This window comes from Homo sapiens, chromosome 4, assembly GCF_000001405.40.
Source record: "Homo sapiens chromosome 4, GRCh38.p14 Primary Assembly".
NCBI lineage: Eukaryota > Metazoa > Chordata > Mammalia > Primates > Hominidae > Homo > Homo sapiens.
The window spans coordinates 90,904,924-90,923,326 of NC_000004.12; the positions used below are offsets into that span (position 1 = coordinate 90,904,924).

At 35.9% G+C, this 18,403-nt stretch overlaps 1 protein-coding gene across 27 annotated transcripts in view; it reads left to right on the forward strand.

The window, feature by feature from the left end:
• Window positions 1–18,403, forward strand: part of CCSER1 (coiled-coil serine rich protein 1) — a 1,477,902-nt gene that overhangs the window by 777,530 nt on the left and 681,969 nt on the right. For 4 of the 27 annotated variants that reach the window (XR_001741218.2, XM_011531947.2, XM_011531946.3 and 1 more), the window contains exon 10: window positions 13,307–13,404. The exons of 19 other annotated variants lie outside the window; for them this stretch is intronic. Coding sequence is in view for 3 of the 8 variants with exons in the window: in XM_011531947.2 (XP_011530249.1) it covers window positions 13,307–13,404 (98 nt within the window). In the remaining 5 variants the exon portion in view is untranslated. Of the gene's footprint in view, window positions 1–6,331; window positions 6,435–13,306; window positions 13,405–18,403 lie in introns of those variants that run through there. 4 more of the 27 variants (XR_938733.3, XR_938734.3, XR_938735.2 and 1 more) reach the window with 4 other exon arrangements.

Genomic DNA, 18,403 nt, shown 5'->3' on the forward strand with positions numbered 1-18,403 from the left:
CCAATTGAACCTGCTTCTCCTGAAGTGTTTCTCATATCAGGAATATCACCATCAACCAGCCTCCCATTTGCTCAGAACAGAAACTTGGGAGTTGTTCTTTACTGTTCCCTTTTGCTAAACCTACCAATTACAATTAATTATTCACTTTTAAATCTAACTCTTATTTTGAGTCTGGAAAATAGATAGGACTCTATCCCTTTTGCAAAAAGCATTTCCTCTAGACAATTGCATTATCCTCTAAATTTCCTTTCTCCGATATCATCCCTACCTCTAATTTCTTCTGCATACAACAGACAGAATGATGTTGGTTAAATACAATTGAATTGTGCTAGAAACACTTCTATGATTTCCCACTGATCTAAACATAAAATTGAGCATTTTGTAGAGCCTACAATTGTGCCAATATTCTCCTTGCTCACTACGTTCTAGTCACACCACACACACACACACACACACACACATATATTAGTTTCTTAAGAAAAAATGCATATACTCCTCCCCCACGCCTCTTGAACTTTATCCAGTTTTTCTTTCTGAAACAATCCCTTGCTTACTGCCTGGCTGTGTCCTTGTCCTATAACCTTAAATGTCATTTCTTCACTAAGGCCCACCATGAGTGTCAAATAGAAATGGCATCTTTATGTTATTCTTTCTCCTAACTTCCCTTTATATCACTTACCAAAATTTGTCGTTTTTTACCTGGTAAAACATTTGCTTATTGGAAGTCTATCTCTCCTTCGAAGTAGAAGCAGTGAAATAGCGAGAACAATGACCCTTTGCTTACAACTCTCTATGTCATGAGAGCATTGTGTGCTGCTCTCTATACATCCCACTCCTTTGCTCGGGGCCTGCGCCTCTTCTGCTAGCTGTATAGTGGAGTTGTGTCCTACTCAGGAGTTGGACTCTAAAAGGGCTCACTGTGAACATTTAGCCAAAATGTCGCATAACTAGTTTTGTTTATAAATATAAATATGCAAAATAATACAATGTATATTTAAATATACAATTTTATTTTAGTTCTAATTACACAGAGAGAAAAAGTGAGCACAGTTTAATTTGCATAATTAAATGTGCTATTACTGATGGCTGAATTAATAAATTACAGATACTCATTAAATATTTGTTGGAATCAATTAAGTCCAGCTTTAAATGTCTTTGCTACCATTTCTATTTGAAAGATGAATAAACAGACATCTAAAGCAACTGAGTAATTCCTCTAGTCACGTGTAATCTCTTTAGGTTTTCTGTCTTCTTATATTTTGCTATTCAGATAATACATATACGGATTTGACTTTATTTTTAATTTTTGCTCATGACTATGCTGAAGGAAACTTGAAGGATAATGAATTTCATGGCACTCAGAATTTCTTGAGTTTGTCAGTGAAGTTTGGTCTGTGTATACAGTTTGTCTGGTGAAGTTTGATTCATGACATCAATTGTTTTCTAGCTGATCGTCAACCTGTAATACCATGCTGACTCTGCAAGTGTCTAGTGATCTTATTCTTGTCTCCCTTATGCTTGTGTTTCTGGAATGCTGTCATCAGCATATTACTGTTAATGAATGACTGTCTTGGAGACTTTTGTGTCACTTCACGGTTTACTATAAGAATTTTTATACACATTGAAATTAAATCAATACCATAAAATAAAATGCTCACAATCTCCTAAAAAACCGAATATTTTCTTTAAAATAGGAATCTTATTTTTAAACCATAGTGATTAAGTGGGCAGGGTATTATATCCTGATCTTCCTCAATAAAAATATCAAGCAAGTTAAAGCTGGAAAAATCTTTATCATATATTCAAGATCTCAGTCTCAATACTGTTGGCAGGTTTCTGTTTCTAGTGATGCAAGGGTTCTGGTTTTTTTTAATGAGAATAATTTTCAAGGTTGAATTAAGGACTTATGGTTGTTGTATTAGTCAGTGCCATTTTAACTCTCCTAAATCTTCGCAATGCCTATATTCAAACCCTATTACTCCAAATTCATTGTGTGTGTGAATGTATTTGTATGTGTGCGTGTGCACATCTTGAGGCTTAAAGGGGGGCAATAAATTGCAAAATAGAAAATTCAGACAAATTGAACTATAATGCAATGCTATCCTAACTTGTATTGGAATGCAGCCATATAAGCTTCTAGTACATTCTTCTCTGAACTGAAGTGACCTACTGGAGTTGCTGACATAAAGGGAAAATTGCAGACCTTTACCACAGGGCAAGAGCCTATAAACTTATGCCTAGACAAGTTGAAACTTCATCCTGTAGACAGATCATGTCAATAAGAAGCAGAGTATGTTTCTTTATCCCAAGGTCACCTACCAGTTTATAGATGAATAAAAGTGAGAGAGATGTAGAGCAGAAATTCCCTAATGCAAATATGGGCCAAGGGAATGGAGAGCCCCTGACAAATAGAATGTATCTGTTTACACCAGGATGCTGCTAGTGAGGGAATGTTTGGGACTTGATGTGTTGAAAAATTCTTCTGGACCTATTTCCTGTAGAAGATATGTCTGTATTCATCATTTTTTGGATGATGATTCAAAAAATCGTCATCCTTTGGATGAATCACCTCATTAATTTTCATTAATTTTCATCATTAATTGGATGAATCACCTCATTAATCTTTCACTCACAATGTAAAATTCAGGCAATAGTGAAAATGGAGTATATAAGATTCTTTTTTAATAAAAGAAATTCTAATCTGCGTATGAAAGTAAACATTTGTCATGTGATGTTACAGTATCAATTTCTCAGACGTATATTTGATTTTTACCCGTTGTTTAATATCCTCACTTTTCTCTTTGTACTGTTTTTTTTTCTTACTTTCTTTTGTCTTATCATAAAGTATCTTTGCAGACCAGAATTACTGGAATAAACCCTTAGTTCAGATTTCATTTCCAATCTTTCCCTACTTAAATTTATATATGATACAAATGCCAGAAATTTTGCTGGACTTGTCATGTCATCAATATTAACTTCCAATAGCAAATGTGTCTGCAAATGTCAAGTTCAAAAGCTGATCTCTGATGCCACTCCAGCCTTATGCATATTCTCTCATCCACCCAATTCTTCATTTTTTAAAAACAATAGAGTATCTAGAGTGTGCCTAAAAGTATATAAGGAAGTGTGGAGTCAATATGGTACTAAATAAACATGGTCCCTGCTCTAAGGAACTTAAATACTAGTGCAGAAGGCAGACCAAACATAGGCAAACCACAAATAAAAGAAATAATTGTCAGTCAAAATGACATTTAGCAAAAAAGATATTAAGACAGAGAATCACTTGGAGATAAGAATCTACTTTAAAAAGAATATCTGTAAGGCAGTGGCACCTAATATGCAGAAGATTCCAGATGAAGGAATAGTAGGTTAAAACTTCCTCAAGTGGTGAAGATCTTGATCCATTCAAGAAACTGAAAGAAAATGAGTGTGAGGAGAGTCATGTTTGCAAGTGAAAGAGTTGTGTTAATATGAGATGAAGGTGATAAAATAGATAAGGTGATATAAGGCAGGGGCTGGCTGTACATCATGGTAAAAAGTTTAATTTTTATTATATAAACCAGAATGCTGCAATAACAGTATAAAACAAGAAGCAAATGGTAGTCATGTGTGTAATTTAGTATGCTAAATATGTTATACTTAAATTAATATATCCAAAATCGTATGATTTTAAGATGCAATAAATATATAGTTATTCATGAAATATTTTGTGAGTGAAACTTTTTTGTACTGATTCTTTTAAAATCCATTGTGTATTTGACACAAACATCTCAGTTTACAGCAGCTGCATTTCAGGTGCTCATTTGTCACCTGTGCCTCATGACTACTCTATTGGAATGGAAAACTGTTAGTGTGTTCAAGAAGGAGACTGATGTGATCCAAATTACATTTTCATGTTACTCTGCTATTATTTACAGAAACTATGTAGTGGAGAAGGTATGGATGAAGACAGGAAAATGAGTTAGGAGGCTGTATTAGTTTCCTGTGGCTTCCGTAACAAAGTACCACAAACTGGCTGACTTAAAACAATTGAAATTTATTTTCTCAGAAGTCTTTCTTGAGACCATAAATCTGAAATCAAGATGTGGGCAGAGCCATATTTCCTCTGAGGGCTCTAGAAAAGGAGTCTTCTTGACCTCTTTTAGCTTCAAATGGTTGCTGGCAATTTTTGAAGTTGCTTGGCTTGTAGATGGATCTACACTTTCTAGTTTCTACCTCTGTCTTCACATGACCCTCTCTTCTGTGTGTCTGTGTAGCTGTGTCCAAATGTCCCTCTTCTTATAAAGAACACTTGTCTTATTTGATTTGTGGCCAATCCTTATCAAGTATAATCTCTTTTTAATGTGATTATATCTGCAAAGGCCCTATTTCCAAGTAAAGTCACATTCACGGGCTCCAAGTAGACATGAATTTTGGAGGTACACAGTTCCAGACAGTGCAGAGGCCATTGGAATAAAAGGTGGTGGTGGCTTGTACACACCCAGCACACATCTATACTTCACTCCCCTCTGCACCCTAGGTAGTAGGCTGGGGTGGAGGCAGTAGATATAAAAAGAAGTGATTGTGAAATACATTTTAGAGATGTAATTAACTGATGTCTTGAATGTGGAGGGGCAGAGCCAAAGCAATTTGGATGATATTTCCAATCAGAGTTTCTATCATGCCTTTCCTGATCAGTCACTAAATGCCCACTGTTTTTATCCTGGAAATTTGTGTTTCTAGCTTCTAAAGGATCTAACTCAAAGCCATCTCTTTTATGTCCCTCTTTACGAGGCCTTTCTTAATTAGCTTTACCTTATTGGTAAGAGTATTAAACTAGAAGAAATGGATTAGCCTGTCTTAAGTACTAAAGAAATCAAATATATATTTGTATAATCCATTATTAGTGAAACTTTGCCAGTGTTTAAATATACTGCAATGTACTCTTTGAAAAAATCTAGAAACTGGAAATTTTAGAATTGAAATAGAAATCATAATTCAACTCACATTGTATTAGTTCATTTTCACACTGCTATAAAGAACTACCTGAGACTGGGTAATTTGTAAAGAATAGAGGTTTAATTGACTCACAGTACCACAGGCCCTAACAGGAAGCATGACTGGGAGTCCTCAGGAAACTTATGCTCATGATGGAAGGAGAAGGGGAAGTAAGCACCTTCTTCACATGGTGGCAGGAAAGACAGAGAGAGAGAAAGAGAGAGCAAAGTGGGAAGGGCCATCCTTTTAAACAACCACATCTCGTGAGAACTCACTATCAAGGGAACAGCAAGGGGGAAATCTGCCTCCATGATTTAATCATCTCCCACCAGGGCCCTCCCCTGATACAAAGAGATTGTAATTCACATGGGATTTGTGTGGGGACACAGAATCAAACCATATTACTCATTAAAAACAAAAAGCAAAACAAAACTACATATCCTTTACATCTAGAATATGACGCACAGTTATCTGGGTACAAGTATTCCTAATGATTTCAATCTCTAAATATACTAAGTTTTCCAATTCATATTTTTTATCAGTCTGTCTCATTCATAAATGAAATCACCCAAGTTCTTAAATCTAGTCATATTTTTAGTTTGTACAATCTCTTATAGGTGTTCAATTCCATAAATATAAAGTATACTGTTTAATTTTGTAAGCCCTATTATTTCTTGTAAAAATCACCTGCAATCTGCTCTCAGAGTGGTCACAGTGAAGGATGTCAGGCAGTTTTCTAGTTCAGGTAGCATAAGGCTGAATAAAAATAAATATGTTATCCAGATGTTGTATTATTGATTTACTGACATTCCTTCATTTCTGTTTGTGTTTAGAGTCTTGACCCATTTTTTAAACATACAAACCTGAAATAAGTTTCCTATCCCTTTGTCCTTTTCTGCAATTTTTTAAAACCTCACATTGCTTTTCCTGAGGTATGGGGACCCAAAAACTGAAAGCATCTCATTAACAGGCCAACTATTAACACTTGTGGGTCCCAGGCCAAGAATATGAATGAAGGCTCACAGAATGTAAGTCTAAATATTGAAGTTATAAATAAAGCTTTAAAAACCATGGAATAAAATATGTTCTAACCTCTTATCTTGGAAAGTATACTTTGATAATTACTTAAAAAGCACATTCCAAATCCAGATTTCTTTGGACTTCCTGGCATTCTCTGCAGGAACTTAGCAACGTGGAGAGAGCCAGCCTGTGTTCTTATTTAATTCCAATATCCATTGTTAAATCTGGGTAATGATTGCATAAGAGTTCTTTTTATAAGTCTCCCTTTTTTTCAAGTTAGCAATTTTCTACAACAAAAAAATTATATTAATAAAGTTTAGTGTCTCCTTGATAGCTCCCGAAAATTTTGTGTTCCATGAGAGGAGGTTTTATTTGCTTGGCTGTGTTTCTTGAAGATTCTACTGATGTCTTCAGTGATATGCATGCCCCCATTAAAGGTGGGTGACAATGATCAATGTGATCTGTATAATGTTGCATTTTCATTCCTGAGCTCATCTTTGGCCTTGGCATCATTAAGCAATCCCTATGATTCTCTCTGTGTCTCTCTTGCTTTTGTTTTATTTAAATAATCTTGGGGGCGGTTCCAAGATGGCCAAATAGGAACAGCTTCAGTCTACAGCTCCCAGTGTGAGCGATGCAGAAGATGGTTAATTTCTGCATTTCCAACTGAGGTACCGGGTTCATCTCACTGGGGATTGTCAGAGAGTGGGTGCAGGACAGTGGGTGTAGCGCACCAAGCATGAGCTGAAGCAGGGCGAGGCATCGCCTCACCCAGGAAGCTCAAGGGGTCTGGGAATTCCCTTTCCTACCCAAGCAAAGGGGTGACAGACGGCACCTGGAAAATCGGGTCACTCCCAACCTAATACTGCGCTTTTCCGATGGTCTTAGCAAACGGCACACCAGGAGATTATATTCCACGCCTGGCTCAGAGGGTCCTACACCCATAGAGCCTCGCTCATTGCTAGCACAGCAGTCTGAGATCAAAGTGCAAGGCAGCAGCGAGGCTGGGGGAGGGGCGCCCGCCATTGCTGAAGCTTGAGTAGGTAAACAAAGCAGCCTGGAAGCTGGAATTGGGTGGAGCCCACCGCAGCTCAAGGAGGCCTGCCTGCCTCTGTAGACTCCACCTCTGGTGGCAGGGCATAGCCGAACAAAAGGCAGCAGAAACCTCTGCAGACTTAAATGTCCCTGTCTGACAGCTTGGAATACAGTAGTGTTTCTTCCAGCACGGAGCTTGAGATCTGAGAACGGACAGACTGCCTCCCCAAGTGGATCCCTGACCTGCGAGTAGCCTAACTGGGAGGCTAATTATGTGTCTGCCCAGTAGGGGCAGACTGACACCTCACAAGAACTGGTACCACTCTGAGATGAAACTTTCAGAGGAACGATCAGGCAGCAACATTTGCTGTTCACCAATATTCGCTATTCTGCAGCCTCCACTGCTGATACCAAGGCAAACAGGGTCTGGAGTGGACCTCCAGCAAACTCAACAGACCTGCAGCTGAGGGTGCTGACTGTTAGAAGGAAAACTAACAAACAGAAAGGACATCCACACCAAAACCCCATCTATACGTCACCATCATCAAAGACAAAAGGTATATAAAACCACAAAGATGGGGAAAAAACAGAGCAGAAAAACTGAAAATTCTAAAAATCAGAGCACTTCTCCTCCTCCAAAGGAGTGCAGCCCCTTGCCAGCAATGGAACAAAGCTGGACGGAGAACGACATTGACGAGCTGAGAGAAGAAGGCTTCAGAGGATCAAACGTTTCCAAGCTAAAGGAGGAAGTTCGAACCCATGGCAAAGAAGTTAAAAACCTTGAAAAAAGATTAGACGAATGGCTAACTAGAATAACCAGTGTAGAGAAGTCCTTAAAGGACCTGATGGAGATGAAAACCATGTCACGAGAACTACGTGACGAATGCCCAAGCTTCAGTAGCTGATTCGATCAACTGGAAGAAAGGGTATCAGTGATGGAAGATCAAATGAACGAAATGAAGTGAGAAGAGAAATTTAGAGAAAAAGGAATGAAAAGAAACGAACAAAGCCTCCAAGAAATATGGGACTATGTGAAAAGACCAAATCTGCGTCTGATTGGTGTACCTGAAAGTGACGGGGAGAATGGAACCAAGTTGGAAAACACTCTGCAGGATATTATCCAGGAGAACTTCCCCAATCTAGCAAGGCAGGCCAACAATCAAATTCAGGAAACACAGAGAACACCACAAAGATACTCCTCGAGAAGAGCTACTCCAAGACACGTAGTTGTCAGAACCAAAGTTAAAATGAAGGAAAAAATGTTGATGTTAAGGGCAGCCAGAGAGAAAGGTCAGGTTACCCACAAAGGGAAGCCCATCAGACTAACAGCTGATCTCTCAGCAGACACTCTGCAAGCCAGAAGAGAGAGGGGGCCAATATTCAACATTCTTAAAGAAAAGAATTTTCAACTCAGAATTTCATATCCAGCCAAAATAAGCTTCATAAGTGGAGGAGAAATAAAATCCTTTACAGACAAGCAAATGCTGAGAGATTTTGTCACCACCGGGCCTGCCCTACGAGAGCTCCTGAAAGAAGCACTAAATATGGAAAGGAACAGCCAATACCAGCCACTGCAAAAAGATGCCAAAATGTAAAGACAATCGAGGCTAGGAAGAAACTGCATCAACTAACAAGAAAAATAACCATCTAACATCATAATGACAGGATCAAATTCACACATAACAATATTAACCTTAAATGTAAATGGGCTAAATGCTCCAACTGAAAGACACAGCCTGGCAAATTGGATAAAGAGTCAACACCAATAAGTATGCTGTATTCAGGAAACCCATCTCACGTGCAGAGACACAGATAGGCCCAAAATAAAGGGATGGAGGAAGAGCTACCAAGCAAATGGAAAACAAAAAAAAAGGCAAGGGTTGCAATCCTAGTCTCTGATAAAACAGCCTTTAAACCAACAAAAATCAAAAGAGACAAAGAAGGCCATTACATAATGGTAAAGGGATCAATTCAACAAGAAGAAGTAATTATCCTAAATATGCATGCACCCATTACAGGAGCACCCAGATTCATAAAGCAAGTCCTTGGAGACCTACAAAGAGACTTAGACTCCCACACAATAATAATGGGAGGCTTTAACACCCCACTGTCAACATTAGACAGATCAACAAGACAGAAAGTTAACAAGTATATCCAGGAATTGAATTCAGCTGTGCACCAAGTGGACCTGATAGACATCTACAGAACTCTCCACCCCAAATCAACAGAATATACATTATTCTCAGCCCCACACTGCACTTATTCCAAAATTGACCACATAGTTGGAGGTAAAGCACTCCTCAGCAAATGTAAAAGAACAGAAATTATAGCAAACTATCTCTCAAACCACAGTGCAATCAAACTAGAACTCAGGATTAAGAAAATCACTCAAAACCGCTCAACTACATGGAAACTGAACAACCTGCTCCTGAATGACTGCTCGGTACATAACTAAATGAAGGCAGAAATAAAGATGTTTTTTGAAACCAATGAGAACAAAGACACAACAAACTAGAATCTCTGGGACACATTTAAAGCAGTGCGTTGAGGGAAATTTATAGCACTAAATGCCCACAAGAGAAAGCAGGAAAGATCTAAAACTGACACCCTAACATCACAATTAAAAGAACTAGAGAAGCAAGAGCAAACACATTCAAAGCGAGCAGAAGGCAAGAAATAACTAAGATCAGAGCAGAATTGAAGGAAATAGAGACACAAAAAACCCTTCAAAAAATCAATGAATCCAGGAGCTTTTTATTGAAAAAAAAAAAAAACTTTTTTGAAAAGATCAGCAAAATTGATAGACCACTAGCAATACTAATAAAGAAGAAAAGAGAGAAGATTCAAATAGATGCAATAAAAAATGACAAAGGGGATATCACCCCCAATCCCACAGAAATACAAACTACCATCAGAGAATACCATAAACACCTCTTCACAGATAAACTAGAAAATCTAGAAGAAATGGAAAAATTCCAGGACACATACAGCCTCCCAAGACTAAACCAGGAAGAAGGTGAATCTCTGAATAGACCAATAACAGGCTCTGAAATTGAGGCAATAATTAATAGCATACTAACCAAAAAAAGTCCTGGACCAGACGGATTCACAGCTGAATTCTACCAGAGGTACAAGGAGGAGCTGGTACCATTCCTTCTGAAACTATTCCAATCAATAGAAAAAGAGGGAATCCTCCCTAACTCATTTCGTGAGGCCAGCATCATCCTGATACCAAAGCCTGGCAGAGACACAACAGAAAAAGAGAATATTAGACCAATATCCATGATGAACATTGATGCAAAAATCCTCAATAAAATACTGGCAATCTGAATCCAGCAACACATCAAAAAGCTTATCCACCATGATCAAGTAGGCTTCATCCCTGGGATGTGAGGCGGTTCAGCATACGCAAACCAATAAACGTAACCCAGCATATAAACAGAACCAAAGACAAAAACCACATGATTATCTCAATAGATGCAGAAAAGGCCTTTGACAAAATTCAACAACACTTCATGCTAACAACTCTCAATAAGTTAGGTATTGATGGGATGTATCTCAAAATAATAAGAGCTATCTATGACAAACTCACAGCCAATATCATACTGAATGGGCAAAAACTGGAAGCATTCCCTTTGAAAACTGGCACAAGACAGGGATGCCCTCTCTCACCACTCCTATTCAACATAGTGTTGGAAGTTCTGGCCAGGTCAATCAGGCAGGAGAAAGAAATAAAGGGTATTCAATTAGGAAAGGAGGAAGTCATCTTGCCCTGTTTGCAGATGACATGATTGTATATCTAGAAAACCCCATTGTCTCAGCCCAAAATCTCCTTAAGCTGATAAGCAACTTCAGCAAAGTCTCAGGATACAAAATCAATGTGCAAAAATCACAAGCATTCTTATACACCAATAACAGACAAACAGAGAGCCAAATCATGAGTGAACTCCCATTCACAATTGCTTCAAAGAGAATAAAATACCTAGGAATCCAACTTACAAGGGGTGTGAAGGACCTCTTCAAGGAGAACTTCAAACCACTGCTCAATGAAATAAAAGAGGACACAAACAAATGGAAGAACATTCCATGCTCATGGATAGGAAGAATCAATATCATGAAAATGGCCATACTACCCAAGGTAATTTATAGATTCAATGCCATCCCCATCAAGCTACCAATGACTTTCCTCACAGAATTGGAAAAAACTACTTTAAAGTTCATATGGAACCAAAAAAGAGCCCGCATTGCCAAGTCAATCCTAAACCAAAAGAACAAAGCTGGAGGCATCGCGCTACCTGACTTAAACTATACTACAAGGCTACAGTAACCAAAGCAGCATGGTACTGGTACCAAAACAGAGATATAGACCAATGGAACAGAACAGAGCCCTCAGATATAATGCCACATATCTACAACTATCTGATCTTTGACAAACCTGACAAAAACAAGAAATGGGGAAAGGATTCCCTATTTAACAAATGGTGCTGGGAAAACTGGCTCGCCATATGGAGAAAGCTGAAACTGGATCCCTTCCTTACACCTTATACAAAAATTAATTCAAGATGGATTAAAGACTTAAATGTTAGACCTAAAACCATAAAAACCCTAGAAGAAAACCTAGGCAATACCATTCAGGACATAGGCATGGGCAAGGACTTCATGTCTAAAACACTGAAAGCAATGGCAACAAAAGCAAAATTAAGAAATGGGATCTAATTAAACTAAAGAGCTTCTGCATAGCAAAAGCAAATACCATCAGAGTGAACAGGCAACCTACAAAATGGGAGAAAATTTTTGCAATCTACTCATCTGACAAAGGGCTATTATCCAGAATCTACAAAGAACTCAAACAAATTTACAAGAAAAAAATGAACAACCCCATCAAAAAGTGGGCAAAGGATATGAACAGACACTTCTCAAAAGAAGACGTCTATACAGTTAAGAGACACATGAAAAAAATGCTCATCATCACTGGCCATCATAGAAATGCAAATCAAAACCACAATGAGATACCATCTCACACCAGTTAGAATGGTGATCATTAAAAAGTCAGGAAACAATGGGTGCTGGAGAGGATGTGGAGAAATAAGAACACTTTTACACTGTTGGTGGGACTGTAAACTAGTTCAACCATTGTGGAAGTCTGTGTGGCAATTCCTCAGGGATCTAGAACTAGAAATACCATTTGACCCAGCCATCCCATTACTGGGTATATACCCAAAGGATTATAAATCATGCTGCTATAAAGACACATGCACAGATATGTTTATTGCGGCACTGTTCACAGCAGCAAAGACTTGGAACCAAGCCAAATGTCCAACAATGATGGACTGGATTAAGAAAATGTGGCACATATACACCATGGAATACTATGCAGCCATAAAAATGATGAGTTCATATCCTTTGTAGGGACATGGATGAAGCTGGAAACCATCATTCTCAGCAAACTATTGCAAGGACAAAAAAACAAACACCGCATGTTCTCACTCATAGGTGGGAATTGAACAATGAGAACACTTGGACCCAGGAAGGGGACATCACACACTGGGGCCATTGTGGGGTAGAAGGAGGGGGGAGGGATAGCATTAGGAGATATACCTAATGTTAAATGACCAGTTAATGGGTGCAGCACACCAACGTGGCACATGTATACATATGTAACAAACCTGCACTTTGTGCACATGTACCCTAGAACTTAAAGTATAATTTTTTAAAAAAGATCAAAAAAATTACATCAGGATTTTATTTTAGTGATTAAAGAAAATAAACACCTAAAAAAAATCTTTTATTATTGACATTGAAGTCCCTTACAAGATGATGGTCAAATTCTCTTTGTCCCACCTAATTTCTAGTTTAAACTTGTCTCAGAAGGCTGTGAATTTTCTCATGTTGAATTATATTACTTTTCAATTTGAAAAGTTAGCTTTTCCCCTCTTTTACAGTGTCAGTTTTTCTAGAATATTTCTCTTTCCATAAGCTTTACCTTTAGATTCATGACTTAGGATCTAAATTTAGGATTATACTATTTTAAGCAGACTTTGTGTTTCTTTTACATTAAAAAAATCTTTTTCTAGCTTTTACCTATCTTTTGCCAAACTTTCTTTTGCAAATTTTGGATAGCAACCAAATGTTTTCTGTTTCCTTCAGCCTCAAGGTACATATTCAGTAAGTATGTAATCACTATTATATACTAGTGTCTGTTAATTGTATTAACTAACATACTAGTGTCTGTTAATTGTATTAATTAATGTGTGTACATTTCTTTTTATTATAGATTCTAAAGCAAACTACTACACGTAGGCCATCATGTTCCAAGTTTTTGAAAGTTCATCTTTTTCATCTTGTTGATAAATTTCATCAACTTTTATGTAGGTAATTCAAATAGAAATTTGGGATAAATTGGACTGATTTTTTGGGATTATTGAGTATTTTTATTTCAGCTCGTTTTACAGCACTGAAAGCTGGAGTAAAAGACATTAGATATCCCTAGTCACTTGAGACTTCATTTTAAAAGCCAGTTGTACTGGCTTTGCCATGGCTTTGTCTTGGTTTTGATTTCTACCACATTTCCTCCTCTTCAGTGCTTCCTCAGCGGCGTGTACTTGAGTATGCGCACGTGCAAATGAAAAAAACATGGATATATTTGTAGTACCTATTATGTCTTTCATGCTCATTCAAGAGAGATATATATATATATATTAGTAATAAAACTAAATTTTAAAAGCCTAAAAATTAGGACCCAGCCTTTTTATATAGACAAGATATGTCATGGAGTCAGATTCTATGAATATCCAGTGTGTAAAATACACACACACACACACAAACACACACACACGGAGTTCACATATCAAATGAATGATTTTAACAGTTTAAATAGAATATATTTTTAGATTGCTTGAACTGATAATATCATTGCTATCAAAAGGATTTCATGCCTTTTCAACATTTAGTTTTTGTTTGTTTGACATCTTCCAATTTTGTGTTTAACTCTATGTTGACTTTATCATTTTATTCCAAACTTACGCTCCAAAATGCATTGCTGATGATATTTATATTAGTAGGCATTCTGTGGAATTGTGCTTTTACAGGAAATACATTGGTAAATCTTAAGTAATCTTAAATTGTTTCCACAGTAAAAAAAAAAAAAAAAAAAAAAAAGGACTTAGTATGAATCTGCAAGAAAATATAGACAAGGTGGACACCAAAAATAGTTTTATTTCCATCTGTAATTACTAGCTATGCAGCAAGTATAAAAATATATATTTGATATGTTTCCTTGAATATGTGATGTGGAGGCAGCAACACTATTTGTAAGCTTTTTAAAAGAGTTATAGTATCTTTGCAGAGATACTGTACTAGGGTCTAGAGACCAATAAAAAAGGTTTTCATCTGGGCTGCTCCACTTACTATCTTGTGTGATATTTACCAACTGATATTAACAAAGTATCAGTTTGCTGTTTTTTATAAAAGGAACAAAAACACAGCTTTTGTATGTTCTGGAGAGGATTCATATAGATATATATTACTTGATACAGTGCCTGGCATATAACCTACATTCTACTAATGGCATCTATTATTAGTAGTAATAATTAAAGTGGTAATGCTTACAGAAGGAAAGGGAATGTGAGTACAGTTAAGTACCCTTAATAAATTTATATATTTTATTAGGTTCATATATATTTATTTGTGTTACTGACTTTTATTATACAAATGTTATTGATTACTTTTAATCTCAGATGAAATAACTTGGAAACTTAGAGAAGAAAAATATTTTTATTCATATAGCAATATTATATAACTCAAAACCTCCACATATTCAGGACTCAGATTACATGGAAATTTAACAATCAATGTAAATCACAAAATCTGTCACTTTCATCTCATTTTAGTTTTACTTTTTTACATAATATGCTAGCCTTTTTTGCTTTTTCTAAGCACACATGTTTTATTAATCATAAATGTGAAAAAATAAGCGGTGTATTTTGTCATTGCTTGGAAAGGAAACTTAAAGACAATTAGGTATTTTGTCAGGGGCATAGATTTATTTATAAAATTTATCTACTACAAATTGAGTTGTTTTAATTCTTCACTATCCTTCTGAGAGAGATTAGAAGAAGGAATGACAATGTCTGCTTACATGGGAGAATACTGAAAGAAGGCCACCTTAAATCACATGGTGTAAATTCATTGGTGGTCAAAGCTCAGCACACTTCCGCGGTTTGTCTTCTCCATATTGCTTCCTTCTGTATGGATGCATACATATATATCCATTTTTATGTACAATATAAAGTGAAGGATGTATTTAAATAAGTTCCATCCTCATTCAGTTAAAATATTTTATGGTCTTTAATTATAAAATCATATTTTGAAAATTGAGCTGACTCTCAAATCTTTTGGCATAGCATTCTATCCTTTCTGGCATAAACTTGAGTTACCACTCTAATCTCATTCCTCACATTGTCCCTTTAATTGACTCCCTTTAGGCAATTTTGAAGTAGTAGTTGTTTATGCATATCTTTGTCATAGTCTCTCTGACTTCTAAATATTTGCAATTACTATTGCCTTCTTAGATTCCATATCACTCAGTTCCACTTCAAATTGGCTAATAGTAATTCATTTTTCTGGTCTTAGCTGGGATGTCAGTAGCTTCTACATTCCAAATTATTTAACTCTTTTGTACGTCCCCTCTCCAACATACCATTTCCATACACACACACCTCGGGCTCTCTCCGTGGTAACTGTATTTTACCTATAGAATGCGAATTGTCTTATTTTTCTGACTCACAGTGGAAGTGTCTTCATAGAAAGGGATATATTTTCTTTTTTTCCCTTAGTGTCCCCTCCCCTCTAAGCAATAACCATAATATGCATTTAATAAAAAGTTATAAAATACAAATATATTCCTATCATGAAGGTGAAATTTCTGTATACTGAAATAAACTGATAATAATTTTAGTCAAGACTTTAATCATTATATCAAATCAATGTGAAACTGAAAATACATGATGATACTTTGTTTCTATATCTCTGATAAAATATATATATTTATGAAATTAATATAGATAGATTTATTGTATAAGAAATCAAAATTATCTGCAATTCTACCCTCTAGTAATAGCTACTTTTGTGGTACATTTTCTGTTTAATTATCTATAAAACTCTTTTTGTACATATTAAATTTATCAATTTATAAATTTCCATCTACCATTTAGAAATACAAGAGCTCCATCAAGAATCATCTCCTGAAAGCTATGTATTCTTTCTTTAATCTTCTAAGTGTATGTGATAGACATTTGTCATAAACTTTCATATGTTTACGGCCTTCTATTAAGCTAAAAATATTTAATTCTTAATTATTGTACCTAAGTCTATAGGAAACTTAGATTTTATTCTCTACATCTGAATATGGCACACGTGCATACGTAATACCATAATAAATAATTCAAACACATCATTTGTTGTGATTAATGCCTACAAGAGGGAGTAACAATGACATCCCTTGAAATGTCTGTGTTTTATTTAAGTTCCAAAGATAACTGTTCCTTATTTAAAGTTTTTATTTGTTTGTTTGTTCTTGTTTTGGTTAGTATATTGGTTAATAAAGTTGTTTGGAATTTTATTTATCATTATTTGAATTTTCTAAGTCTTATAACTCAGAGCAGTAATCCAGAAGTTACCAACAATTTCCAACTCCTATCCTCAGGATGAAAGCCCTTGAAATAGAAATGTGAGCTGTGGCATAATGGAAGCATTTGGCAGCTATTTTCCCCTGCTCTATACATGAGTGCATAGACTCTAATTCATACAAAAAAGTTTATATAATTACCGATTTGCAACAAAATTTACTTTTCATGTACTTATGATTCTAATCTATCTCAAAAGTAGATAATCAAACTTTTGTAAATAACCTTTCAATGATGGACAATGTTATTGCTCCTTTACCTATTACTACCTCTCCCTGTTCTTTTCTTCATCCCAATCAATATGTCTAGATAAATACATTTTTTTCTCATTTGAAATTTAGTTTGGAAAATGCAGCCACATTTTTACTTATCTTTTTCAAATAATTAAAAACTTCTACCTCACTCATGTAACATCTTCCTGCATGATCTAATCTGCATCTAATTTTTCTCTGACTAGCAGCACTAGATGTTTTGTGATTAGGGAAGTCAGAAGTGATGAGACTTTAATAGAACATAAAATATTTCTTTTCTATATTTCAGTAAGTTAAACTAAATTATATTTACCTAAATTATGTACGTACTTTGATAAACATCTCAGATAATCTTGAAAATACCAAGCAGCAATGAAGGAAAGTGTGAGGGAATAGGGAGGGAGGGGAAAAGGAGAAGAGGGAAGGGGAAGGAACAGGAAAGGAAGGGAGGTGAGGATGGAAGAGTTTTGTGTAACTGGAATTCTTGAGAGTGAGGTTCTTGATAACCATTGTCAATCCTGGGAAAGGAAGAATTAAATCACAGTCCTTTATCGTTTGGGTATTATATAACTATCTTATTAACCATTCAAAAGAAAAGAAAATGATAGACATTCTGCTTTAAAGCAAGTGGAAAGCACAGTCTCATGGAATCCCATGAATTTCTTTGAAAACTGTCTCAAGTTACTTAAACTTCCTAAATTGTATTGTTTTTATTTAACATGAGTGGTATTTACAGTACATATTTGAAGATAAAATGTGATCAAGTGAGTACAACACTCTCAGCTGTGAGAGGCATTTAGTAAATACATTACATAATAATTAAACTCAAGATCTCATTTTAAGTGACACATTTAGGAATGAGAAGGGAAGGTCCCAGAAAAAAGCACAGTCAGATTAGTTTACTCAGAAATCGTAGTTTCGCATTTGAAATATGAAATCCCAACCTAGTTCGTGTATTACTTCCCTTCCCTAGTTATCACAGGGTCGGATTTGTGTCAGTCTCTTAAGGTAAACATTCCTAAATGTGTAGAGGTTTTTGGAAAGAAGAAGCATGACAAAATTAAAACAAACTGAATAGAATCCATTGGGTCTTTTATTAAGAATATTTTTTATTTCAAATGTAAGTGTTCTGAAACTGGATCAGCAAAATAATAGCAACTAAGTTATTTAAAAAGATAACAGGAAACAAAGCATAGACATTTGGTCTTGGATTTAAGCACATTATGACTCTACTGTTGAACTGTGGTTCTGACTCAGTGACGCCTACAGTAGAAGAAAAGATGCTTAAGGTGGGACAGTTGTGACCTAAAAATTAAAGCTCTAAATATTTAAGCTTATTTTAAGAGCACTAACACAGCAAAGCATATGCACAGAGAAGAACATGAATTATACACTAATCAAATTTTAATAAGTGGAGAATATTAGTGTAGAAGTACA